We start from the raw sequence: 12,739 nt of genomic DNA on the forward strand, positions 1-12,739 counted from the left end.
AAATGTGAAAGAGCCTTTAACCTGCCTTAGGTGACAATGAACCCTCTGAAAGTGCTTCAAAATTTTGTGTGCACATGATTTTTCTAAGAGGGTTCCTAAACTTTTACTAGTTTCTCCAAGTGGGGTCACTGACCCAATGACAAGTTAAGAGCTGCTGATCAATGTCTCTAAGAAAAGTTATCTAACAAAATGGTAAATAAAAAATTTACAAAGTAATTTAAAAACCCAATGTGAACTGCTAGAGAAAAGCCATTCAGACAGAAGAAATGTGTTGGAATTACTACAACACATTTAAATACCACAGAAAATTTAATACTTATGAATTCTATTATATCAAGGGTCCTCTGCATCCATCAAGGTTACCCTTTGCTGCCACCTGCCTTCAGCCTAGAGTTTCTATTTGTTCATTTACAAATATTTATTGCACAACTGTGTGCCAGGCATTGTTCTAAGCACAAGAAATATGGCAATGAAAAAAAAATCCCTGATATTCTAGTCTTGTGTACATTCTAGTAGGGGATGGGGGAGAAAAGACAGATAATTAATAAAATAAGTAGATTAGTGTATCAGAAGGTGATAAAGCTAGGAGAAAAACAAAGCATCAAAGAAGGGTAAGAGGACTGCAATTTTATAAAGGCTTGTCAGAAAAGCCCTTGCCAACAAAGTGACATTTGAAAACAAAGGCTTCAAAGAGGTAGGTAAGGGAACAAGCCACCTGGATACGGTGGGAAGAGAACTCCAAGCAGAGTAAAGAGAGCATGAAGTCCTAAGCAAAAATGTGCCTGCTATGTATGAAGAACAGCAAGAGAAAGAACACTGCAGGCTGGAGCAAGAAAGAAGGGAGAATAGTAGGAGATAAAACTGGAGCATTACTGGGGAAGCAAGAGACATGGCAACAAGAGGTCAAAGATAATGTACGGCTTCACAGGCCGGATAAAATTTTGGTTTTTACTCTGAAAGAAACAGGAAAACACTGGAGAATTAAACTCTTCTTAGGTTTACCTGTGTTTCTGCTTTTTGCTCAGAAGCAGCTGAGCCACAGAAGCACAGGTCTCAGCTTCTTTTACAGCATCCCTGAGTTTTCGAAAGAGATCATTCTCTGGGTATTTCCTATCCTCAGCATCTTCCAGCATTACTCGCAATTCAATCAAATCTGTAAAAATTTAAATAAAGAGCCATATACAATAACCATAGACACAAAAAGCCATTCTAAAATCTTCACCAACCTCACTCAAGTGAGTCCCCAACCTACTTGTAGAAATATAATAATTAGTAGAAACAAACAGCTGTGAAAATCTCACCAACACAATAAAAGCTAACAACCAGGTGCTCATTTATAATCCCTATAGACAGTTTCTCTCAGGTAAATAAATTTCTCTTTCCAAAGAAGCCTTCAGTGTCAGTCTTACTGGTAATAGTGGGTTCCCAACATACATAATAAATTTACTGCAAGTCAGATGTCCGGCCCATTTTATGTCAGCTTTTTCATTTCAAACAAGATTCTCAAATAGAAAATTAAGTCTATATTCAATCAACCCATTAATCTCAAATCTCATAGGAAGCCTAGGATTTTTCTTTTACGGAAGGAAAAAACATAAAACTAAAACAAAGCCTCTTTTAAAGTGACAATCAATTCAGTATATGCATACAAAAGAAGGAAATTTAACCTTTTTTGTGGTTGAAGTTAGCAGACAATGCTTCTGTAACACGACTGACCCAAGTGTCATAGGACTGTGCCCTGACTTTTACACCATATAGCAGAGAAGGGAGGTCTTCTAATGGGTAGCGATATCTACAAAAAAAAAAAAAAAAAAAAAAAAAAAAAGAAAACAGAAATAAAAACCTCAAAAACCAACAATAACTTAAAAATAAAGTTTTAAATATAACCAGCTTAAGGAAAATACAATGGCCAAGGGAATGGGATCTTAGTTCACATAAAGAGAAAATCAAACCAGCCCACACTTCTTAATTCAGGGAGACAAGGAACATGTGAAATCAACTGATAAACTAATTTCAGCTGCCAGGTTTAGGGCCAACTTTAAGGGACTGGTCTTCAAGCCTAGAAGTAGACAGTGAAGTTTAGAAGTCCAGAGTAAAGGAGTAAAGTAAGGGAATAAGTAAAAATAACATTAAAACTTGGTTTTAAAAAAAGGTAATGGAAGTTTTACAAAATACTTTTGGATACCTAAGACATTTCTTCTGCATGGGGCAGGGGCACAGATCAGTTGGATGGTAGAGACATACAAGCCGCTCAGGATTACAGGAACATGTGAGAGCAGAGAGAAAACATGTGGTTCTGCATGCTGAACACTGCCGCTCATCATCAGGAACAAGTTCAAACACTTCTTCTTCTGACATCAGGACACCCTGAAATATAATTTATTTCACTAGATCAAGTCTTTCTAGTCTTTAAAGCATCAAAAAACTTAAGTTACTACATTTTTTTCTATAGACAAATCTCTGACTTAAAGGTATAAACATGAAAGGTACAATGGCACAACATCAAAATACTTCCTAAAAGTAATCATTGCTAAATTTTTTTCAATGGGCAAGATTAAAGTTTGGTATCTAAGGATGCACATTTGAGTGACAAAACTATAAAGAAACATGGGCTGGGTGCAGTGGCTCATGGCTATCATCCCAGCACTTTAGGAAGCTGAGGCGGAAGGATTGTTTGAAGCCAGGGATTTGAGACCAGCCGGGGCAACAAAGTGAGCATCCCTACAAAAAAATTTTTAAACATTACCCAGGCATGGTGGTGCATGCCTGTAGTCCCAGCTACTCAGGAGGCTAAGGAGGGAAGATCATTTGAGGCCAGGCTGTAGTAAGCTATGATAGTACTGCTGCACTCCAACCCCAGCCGACATAGCAAGACCCTGTCTCTAAAAAAAAAGAATGCGATTACCACAAAAGTCAAGACAGTTTTTTGAGAGAAGGGAAGAAAATTGTAATTGGGAGGCATTTTGGGGGTGGCCGGCTATACACCAAAAGTTCCTCCCAATTACATCCTTGAGCAAAATAAATCAGTAATCTATTATCCAAAAGTAACACTGACATATACAAACATATGTAAGGACAAAGAAGTATAAAGTAAATTGTGCAAATTAAAATATAATATCAGCATGACATCAAAAAGAAAGTTAAGACAAATTCAGTATGCCAAGAACGTAAGAGCAGGCAGGGTGCAGTGGGTCACACCTATAATCCCAGCACTTTGGGAGGCCGAGGTAGGCAGATCACCTGAGATCAGGAGTTCAAGACCAGCCTGGCCAATATGGCAAAACTTCATCTCTACTAAAAATACAAAAGTTAGCCGGGCGTGGTGATGCATGCCTGTAGTCCCAGCTACTCAGGAGGCTGAGACAGGAGAATCACTTGAGCCCGGGGGGTGAAGGTTGCAATGAGCTGAGATCACGCCACTGCACTCCAGCCTGGGTGACAGAGCGAGACTCCATCTCAAAAAGAAAAAAAAAAAAAGAATGTAAGAGCATATGAAGTGCATTTTACCAAACACCTCCATTTATTATATAACTTTACAGTTTCTGCTTACTTGATTGAGCAAGTTACTTGTAAACCCAATTCTGCAATAAGAGCAAACTCTCTTCATGTAAACAAGGTGGGAACCTGATAATTTATTCACTGGCAGGCACAATTCTGGTCTTTCATCATACACTGTTTTTGATATCAGTTTAATCTAGATGTCTGCTGGCCATATTCTCTTATCTTTCCATTTTCTTATACTGGCATTTAGTATTTTCTTTAAAAATTATTTTAACGTAAAAACAGTTTCAAAATGCATTGCACGTATTTCTTAGTTTATAAGAATTTACTCAGCTTCAGAACAACTGGCAAAGCTGTTCTCAAGGGAATGCTCATGTGGCAACTGAGACACTTCTGGCTGCTTCAAGAAATTTTATACCATTTCCCAAAGTGTACTCCAAGGATCGGATCCTAAAAGACACTCTGGAAAAAATATATTTTTTTTGTTCCAGGTGCCGTGGCTCACACCTGTAATCCCACCACTTTGGGAGGCCGAGGTGGGTAGATCACCTGAGGTCAGGAGTTCAAGACCAGCTTGATGGTGAAACTTTGTCATTACTAAAAATACAAAAATTACTGGGTGTGGTGGCACATGCTTGTAACCCTAACTACTCAGGAGGCTGACGCAGAATTGCTTGAACCTGAGAGGTGGAGACTGCAGGTGAGCCAAGATCGTGCCACTGCACTCCAACTCGGGCAACAGAGTGAGACCCTGTCTCAAATAAATAAATAAAACAAAACAAAAAACTAGGTAACATATAACTATGAAGGAAACGAGGCCAGGTGTGGTGGCTCACGCCTGTAATCCCAGCACTTTGGGAGGCCGAGGAGGGCAGATAACCTGAGGTCAGGAGTTCGAGATTAGCCCGGCTAACATGGTGAAACCCTGTCTCCACTAAAAACACAAAAATTAGCTGGGCAAGGTGGTGAACGCCTGTAATCCCAGCTACCCGGGAGGCTAAGGCAGGAGATTCACTTGAACCCAGGGGGCAGAGGTTGCAGTAAGCTGAGATCGTGCAACTGCACTCCAACCTGGGTGGCAGAGTGAGATTCCATCTCAAAAAAATAAAAAGGAAACGTATGAGTCAAGATCACGCTAAGTTTTTACACGATGGTCCTGGCGCTTACTAAGATGAGGCAATTAGGAAAGAAAAGTGGTTTGTGAAGGGTGGAGAGGAAGGAGATTTTCTATTTCAGATGCTGAAACTGAGATGATAAAAATCTAAATAGAAATGTGCAATACACATGTTGGAAACACAGATTACAAATGAGTGGCTGGACACAGCCTCTTTCACAGTGATAGTAATTCCTGTGTGTAATGTAATAGGAGGAAACTATAAGAAGTGAGAACTGAAACCACAAGGTAATAGCTGAAAGACTTAAGACCCTTAGATGAGAATTCCAAGATAAACAGCACAAAATAACAACAATAAACAGTCAAAGGCTGAACCCTGCACCCATTGTTGGGGATATAAGGAGAAAGAACTAGAAATGATGGCCAAATACAATCAAAGAGACTAAAAAAACAGTAGAGCAAATGTTAGGTAAAGAAACAACAGCAGCAATATATAGTGCAATAAAGAGGTCATGGGGATAGAAGACACAGAAAGAAACCACTGGATTTTGGCCGGGCACGGCGGCTCACGCCTGTAATCCCAGCACTTTGGGAGGCCGAGGTGGACGGATCACGAGGTCAGGAGATCGAGACCATCCTGGCTAACAAGGCAAAACCCCATCTCTACTAAAAATACAAAAAATTAGCCGGGCGTGGTGGCAGGCGCCTGTAGTCCCAGCTACTCGGGAGGCTGAGGTAGGTAGGAGAATGGCGTGGACCCGCAGGGCGGAGCTTGCAGTGAGCCAAGATCGCGCCACTGCACTCCAGCCTGGGTGACAGAGCTAGACTCTGTCTCAAAAAAAAAAAAAAAAAAAAAAAAAAAGAAAAGAAACCATTGGATTTTGAAATACAGTGTGTCACTGGTGAACTTTGAGACTTTCAAAAGTATGATGGGAACAGAATGACAATGATAATGAAGGGATAAAGAGGACATGAGACTGCTGACCACGGGAAAACCACTGAAGATTCTTAGTAAAGGTAAAATGAAAACTTTTCTTAAAATAGGAAAGACAAGTTCATAATGCAAAGAAAGGGCAGGGATAAGTAACTGGAACAAGGGCATAGGTGGAAGGTATGTTTAAAGAAGGGTCTATAGAGAAATTTGATCAAAGTAGCACAAAGAAACATGGTAGAGGATCAGGAGATGGGACATTCAAATTATCAAAGCACAAGGGAAATAATGTCCCATTCAGGTTAAATCTGAAATACTGAGGACATAGCACAAAATCGTATTTCATGAGTCTCCACCAATGTACTTAAAATTTCAAAATTCAAAAGAAAGACTCTAGGCAATGAGAAAAAGAATCCCATTTTAAATAAATATATAATCAAAATAAGAATTTTAAGAATACAAGTATAGGCCGGGCACAGTGGTTCACACCTGTAATCCCAACACTTTAGGAGGCCAAGGTGGGTGGATCACTTGAGGTCAGGAGCTTGAGACCAGCCTAGCCAACATAGTAAAACCCCATCTCTACTAAAAATACAAAACTGGCTGGTCAAGGTGGCGCATGCCTGTAATCCCAGCTACTTGGTAGGCTAAGGCAGGAGAATCGCTGAACCTGGGAGGCGGAGGTTGCAGTGAGCCAAGATCGTGCCACTGCACTCCAGCCTGAGCAACACAGTGAGACTCTGTCTCAAAAACAACAAAAAGAGAACACAGGCCAGGTGTGGTGGCTCATGCCTGTAATCCCAACACTTTGGGAGGCCAAGGCAGGAGGACTGCTTGAAGCCAGGAGTTTGAGACCAGCCTAGGTAACAAAGCAAGGCTCCACCACTACGAAAAATTTAAAAATTTAGACAGACATGGTAACACACACCTGCAGTCCTAACTACTCCAGAGGCTGAGGTGGGAAGATTGTTTGAGCCCAGAAGTTTGAGGCTGCAGTGAGCTACGACTGTGCCACTGCACTCCAGCCTGGGCGACAGAGAGAGAACCCATCTTTCAAAAAGGTGGTACAGAGCAAGAAGGAAGGACCATATAAGGGCATGAAAAAACTTTTAGGGGTGATAGATATATTCATTATCTTGACTGCAGCAATGGTTTCATGGGTATATACAGAGTCAAAACTTATCAAATTGTACACATTAAACACATGTAGTTTATTACACATCAATTATGCTTCAACAAAGCTGTTTTAAAAACAGAGCAGAATATCAGGCAGAGAGGGAGGAGGGACATGATACAAAAACAGGAGGAAGCACGGTGTAAACCTAATGAAGCTAGCTAGCTATGTAGGAAATATTAGAACAGGCCAAGATGATGCTGAAGATACACATTTTCTCATATATTACCCAGTTCAATGTGATGATGCTTAGCTTATTCTAAGTATTCTAAATCCCAGCCTTGGGGTTAGTCCATCCTTCCTATTCATCAAATTACTTAAAGGGGAGGGAAAAAGATTAATTCAAACTGACAGTCTGTAATTTCCAGAAACATAACTTATTCAACAGAAAGCTCAGAAAAAAAAAATGATTTAAATTTTCTTGTTTAAACAATACTGTATGTAGAAGATTTAAAATGTAAATATATACCTAAGAAATTCTGATAGGACTTGTTTTAAAAACCTAGAGATGACAAGATTCCTAAAACGTTTTTAATCTGGAGAAATCAATATGTCAATTATAAAAATATAAAATCTTCTCCAAATCAGTGATCTTTATGCTCAACTCCTAGGGGATAAGGGATGAAAATTCTACCTATAGGTTTATTTAGCATATCCCATAAGCAGTATCAAACATAGAAAATGTGCTCAGCAAACTCACCATCTGTACAACAGACTCTCTTAATCGTGTTTCTTCTTCAGTCATGAGAGTCAATTCTTTGCAGACCATGGCAGCCAGCCCCACATCTAAGCATTCTGGATCTGCTGCCATCTTGAAAATTAGTTCCTCGTGTGAAAAGACACAGTGGCGCCTTAGGCGTCGGTAATGATTTACACATTGACGTCCAATGGGCAACTGAAAATGAGATTTCCAAATTAAATAACTCGCTTATAACATATCCCAGCACAGAACCACTACTTACCCTCCAGGTCCTCCCTTTTATTAGAAAGAAGACAGAATACCAAATCCATTTAAATATAAAGAGGCAATATTCTATTAACTGTAAATATTAACCCTGTAAGACCCAGCCAGAGTTTCAAAGGCTTTCCCACAGAAAATTCCCATAATCTGAGATGCTAAATTTCTGGCCTAAACTGCTAATTTTCTATTTATTGTATATCAAGAAGGAGTTCTTTGGTATATAACTGAGGCAGCAAACTCTTTTAGACCAGTTTAACATGAGCCTGCCCTTACAAGAAAAAGAAAAATATTGTAAAAATAAATAATTAAATAAGTTCAGGCCAAAAAGGGTTAAGTGGAAGTATTCAGCACTCAAATTTCCATAGAACAAAAAGAACAGATGTTATTAGAAGAAAAAAAAAAGAAAAAAATAGGAAAGGGGAAAAAGTAATACTTAAGCAATCCACATTGGCTGACATTTAGTTTTTTTTGCAAAAACCAAAACAAAGGACAATTTAGATTTTAGCATCTAGAAATTATTTTAAAAACAAGTCTGGCAGAAAGATAATTCAAAGTGAAATTATAAAATTATATACTTTATTTCCCTAACAGTGAAATAAATAACTGATCACTTTTCATAAATGAACAGTTACAGTCTTTAAAATAAATTTTGAAAATTTCCATAATTATCAAGCTACAAACCAAATTACAACAATAGCTATGCCCTACACGTATATACGCACTCCAACTTCAACTTCTTTCCTATGCTCAGGCAGAAGAACTTGGATAAAGGAGTTTTGTTTGGATTTGTAATATAAAAGAGAAAAAATAAGAAAATGGACCTTTAAGAGCCTTTTAGAATTCATCTACAGTTTGAGAAAGGCAGAAAGGAATCAGAGAAAGCAAAGAAAATTTGAGGCTATCTCTGAATTATGCAGTGTTTCCATACTCTTCAAAGAAAAAACTTTCCAAAGGAAAAAGTGTGTGTGTGTGTGTGTGTGTGTGTGTGTGTATATATATATATCTTATGATTAGCAATTATTTTGTCTATTAACAACACACAACTCTTTCATATCTTAAATACGTACTCTTTAAAAATTTCTCAGAGCCTCAACACAAAAACAAGCAAAAGAAAAAAATCATACTGTGGGATTTGCAGTTCTTAACTATTATAATATGTGAGGAAGCCACATAAAATAGAAGTGATTATCCATTGTAACTTATAAACATTAGTCCCATTAATTTATTCCACAGATAAAACTGCTATAACTTTTAATTTATATCACACCCTTCTTCTAAAGAGTGTCAAGGGCTTCCACACATATCCTCTAACTTGTCTGAGGTTATTAAGTGAATCTATCAGCATCTTTACATACCAGCTAAAAAACTTAGGCCCAATGAAATTTTAAAAGCTGCCCAAGGTCAAATACCAATAACAGAGAGAATGGGAACAGCAGAAACTATCTCCAGCTCCTATCTAAATCCTCCCATTTTCTACCCTACACCTAGCCAATTACCATGTATCATAAACACTCAATAAATGCTGATTGAATGTTTAGAAACAGAGCTCAAGCCCAAGGCAAAATCCTAAGCCTAGTCTTGTTCTTGCTAAATTATGCTGTTTCCAAAGCCTAATAAGAAAAAAGTTCAAAATTACTGGAGCAAGTAAGACTATTCATTGTATCATTTTACTCATTAGCAAAGGAAACAAAAACAATCTCTATATGGTTAATCATGGAATTTAATAAATTAAGGTGCCAGCAGAAAACATTAAAGGATTTCCCCCAAAATGTTAACAGAAGCAACAAAAACAGCACCAATACAAGAAAATAAAGTCAGTGTGTATCATAAATATACTGTATAGTCTTCTCCCAAGCAACATAACAGCCACTAAATACTTTTTGATTATCTACTTCATACAAAAGCAAAATAGCAATTACCTAGCATTATCATTTACATAAAAGTATAGCGCAGAGATCTCAATATTATACTCTTTTAAAATTAAAAAAAGGAACAGAAAAAACATAAAATGACAAGACTAGTAAAATCACCTAGTTGTCTATCAGAAAAAAAAAATTAAGGAATTTGTAAAAATCACAGAGCTACGTATTTGAAAATATGGTAGAATACTTGAAATTATCTGTATAAGCCTGATCACCTTAATAAGTCCCAAAATGCTCAGAGAAAGCAAAGGCTAAAAAAACTACAGGTTGGTGCAAAATTAGCTGTGGGTTTAAAACTGCAATTACTTTTGCACCAACCTTTATCTTCAATGGCAAAAGCCACTATTACTTTTGCACCAACCTGTGTCTTCCCTTAGAAAAGAAGGATTCAGAAAGAATCGACTGACCATTTATAAGTTCAAACAGTCTCTCTCTTCTGAGCATCTGACCAGAAGGGAGGGAGTCAAAATAAAGGAAAGAAGGAAAGCAAAGGAGAGAAGGAAAGGAAGAAAAGAAGGAAATGGGGGAAGGGGAAAGTGAAGGAATAGAATGGAAGTGAAGGAAGCAAGTTCAAACAGAATGAGGAAAATAATAAATGGGTAAGAAGAACTATAAAATCTTCAAAATAAAAAATGTGATGGAAATCTACTTAGCTTTCTAAACTACAATAGCCACTCCAGTCTCCACTAAAATACTGATGAACCCGACCCTGAGCCCAGCTAAGCAAATATGGCAACTAAGCTGCTTTATATTTATAGGGGGGTTAGTAGACGTACAACAGCCACTTGCTATAGAACAGACCCAGTCAGCAGTACAGAAGTTCACAGCTTCAGCAAAGTTGTAGCCCTGGTTAAATCCAGAGTGATAGGCACGAGGAAATGTCACAACAAACTCGCCAGCACACTGATTGGTCCTGTACACCTAAATGCAAATTGGGAACAGGGATACAAAAATAAAAAATAAAAATAACAAACAGAGGAAGACAGATTTTATTAGATAATTTCAGATGCATTTTCTAAAACTGAAAACAATAAAGCATTAAGTTACACATATCAGAAAATGATATCAGAAATAGCCAGAATTCTACCTTCTTAAAATAGTCACTGATAATAGATTATAATTCATGACAAGAATTAGCAGCCAAAAGAAATTCTCAAAGAAAAAAACATTACTCTCAACGAGCTACGAGTTTCTTAAACTGATACAATTTTTACAATTTAGAGAATTTGTTTTATTCTTGTATCGTAAATAGTGGCAAAGAATAGAATTTCCTACTACTTTTGGATAATTTTTTGGAACTAACTAAATTAACTCACATGGCATATGAGACATCCCCAATGAGATGTCCCCAAAATCAGTTTTCCTGAAATCTCACTTTGTTTTACAATAATACTGTATGTCTCTTGAAAAGTCTCAGATTCTGGTATAAATTTATTATTTAAAAACAAAGTAACATTATAAATGTTAAACTACTTTCTCTTTAAGGTTATGATGAATATTTGATTATCTATAGTAAACTTGTTAAATTTATACTTTATCAGGCATTAGCTTGAATTTGAGAAACATCTTCAAACTTAGGTTGAAAAGTGAAAAAGGTATTTGCAGTATATTTTTATTTCATTATCTCATGTATTAAAAGCTAAGAAATCTTTACATGAGAAAATAAGGATAAGCAAACTTATTAGTGATTAGTTATTAGGATAAGCATCCTTATTAGTTGTTAGTTATTAGGATAAGCATCCTTATTGGTTATTAGTTATTAGGATAAGCATCCTTATTAGTGATTAGTTATTAGGATAAGCATCCTTATTAGTGATTAGAGCCACCACTTAAAATACCTGTGCTTTGGTTAAATAGAGATAACAAAGAATATGAGATTTTTGTTCAAAGTAGGATGTAATATTTACTGAAAATAGAAGGTTATATGAATAGGTAGCTGTACATAAAGAATGATTCATACTTTAACACTCCCCTTCTTAATCAGATAAAAGTTGTTCCCTGCAGAGTACGAATTCTAATTTGGCTAAAAGATGATATGACTCATTTCTAGTTACAAAACAAAGCATATGTTGTGATTCTATCTAATCAAAAGCTAAAATAACTTTAAATTAAAAATACTGGCTGGGTGCAGTGGCTCACACCTGTAATCCCAACACTTTGGGAGGCCGAGTTGGGAAGACTGCTTGAGCTCAGGAGTTCGAGACCAACCTGGGCAACACAATAAGGCTTCGTCTCTACAAAAAATACAACAATTAGCCGGGGGTGGTGGTGTGCTCCTATAGTCCCAGCTACTCATTAGGCTGAGGCAGGAGAACTGCTTGAGCTGAGCAGGCTGAGGCTGCAATGAGCAATCATCGTGCCGCTGCACTCCAGCCTGGGCAACAGAGCAAGACCCTGTTTCAAAAAAAAAGAAAAAAGAAAAAACAAACAAACAAACAAACAACTGAAGGAAGACACCAAAAGACTCACAGGCACACCATGCTCCATTAGCACGTTGGGGTTCATGATGGTAACTAACTGATGCAGAAGATCAGGCTGGGATTCAAATAACTCGGGGGCCAGCTCTCTCATCACCTCCTCCAGTTGCTCTGCAGCATGAGATGGCACACCATACCATGTCTTTGGCTCCCCCCTAGCAAAAGAAGTAACTGTTTAGCTAGGCAGAACATGGTACCAATGAGGCTAGGGTATCTGATTCCAATCCACCAAATTATAATTAACTTGTCTTATTCCATGGTCAGATTATATGCCCTGAATTCTGGCAACCATCTTATAAACCTGTGCTGTTGTTCACAATAGGAGGTAAGTAAATAGTAGTATGTATAGGCAGATACAAACTTATCACCACAATTAAAAAAGCAACTCAGCACATGAACTCTGTAAGGCGGATCAGTGAAAACACCTTCAAACGGGAAAGACACTATATGAAAAGTAAGCACTGTCCCAAAGGATGCTGACACATGACCTTGATTCAGAGGTCCATGTGAATAATGGACATTTCAATTATCCCCACAATGATCAAAATAAGTCAGTGCTCTCTAGGATACTTCTAAATAGCTTCACTGAGTTCAATTTTACTACCCAAAGAAATAGGCCAAGGCTAGAAATTATTGAAACCTTAAATATACTTCTGTCT

General features: G+C 37.6%; 1 protein-coding gene across 1 annotated transcript in view; it reads right to left on the bottom strand.

Annotated features, from left to right (window-relative positions):
• KDM5A (lysine demethylase 5A) overlaps positions 1-12,739 on the bottom strand; it is a 109,264-nt gene that overhangs the window by 41,358 nt on the left and 55,167 nt on the right. The window contains exons 12-17 of the mRNA NM_001042603.3: positions 12,073-12,235; positions 10,405-10,524; positions 7,421-7,615; positions 2,186-2,367; positions 1,668-1,792; positions 1,003-1,153 (exon numbers count right to left, since the gene is read on the bottom strand). Of these exons, the coding sequence (NP_001036068.1) occupies positions 1,003-1,153; positions 1,668-1,792; positions 2,186-2,367; positions 7,421-7,615; positions 10,405-10,524; positions 12,073-12,235 (936 nt within the window). The remainder of the gene's footprint in view (positions 1-1,002; positions 1,154-1,667; positions 1,793-2,185; positions 2,368-7,420; positions 7,616-10,404; positions 10,525-12,072; positions 12,236-12,739) is intronic.

Source organism: Homo sapiens, chromosome 12 (genome assembly GCF_000001405.40).
Source record: "Homo sapiens chromosome 12, GRCh38.p14 Primary Assembly".
In the NCBI taxonomy this organism is placed as follows: Eukaryota; Metazoa; Chordata; class Mammalia; order Primates; family Hominidae; genus Homo; species Homo sapiens.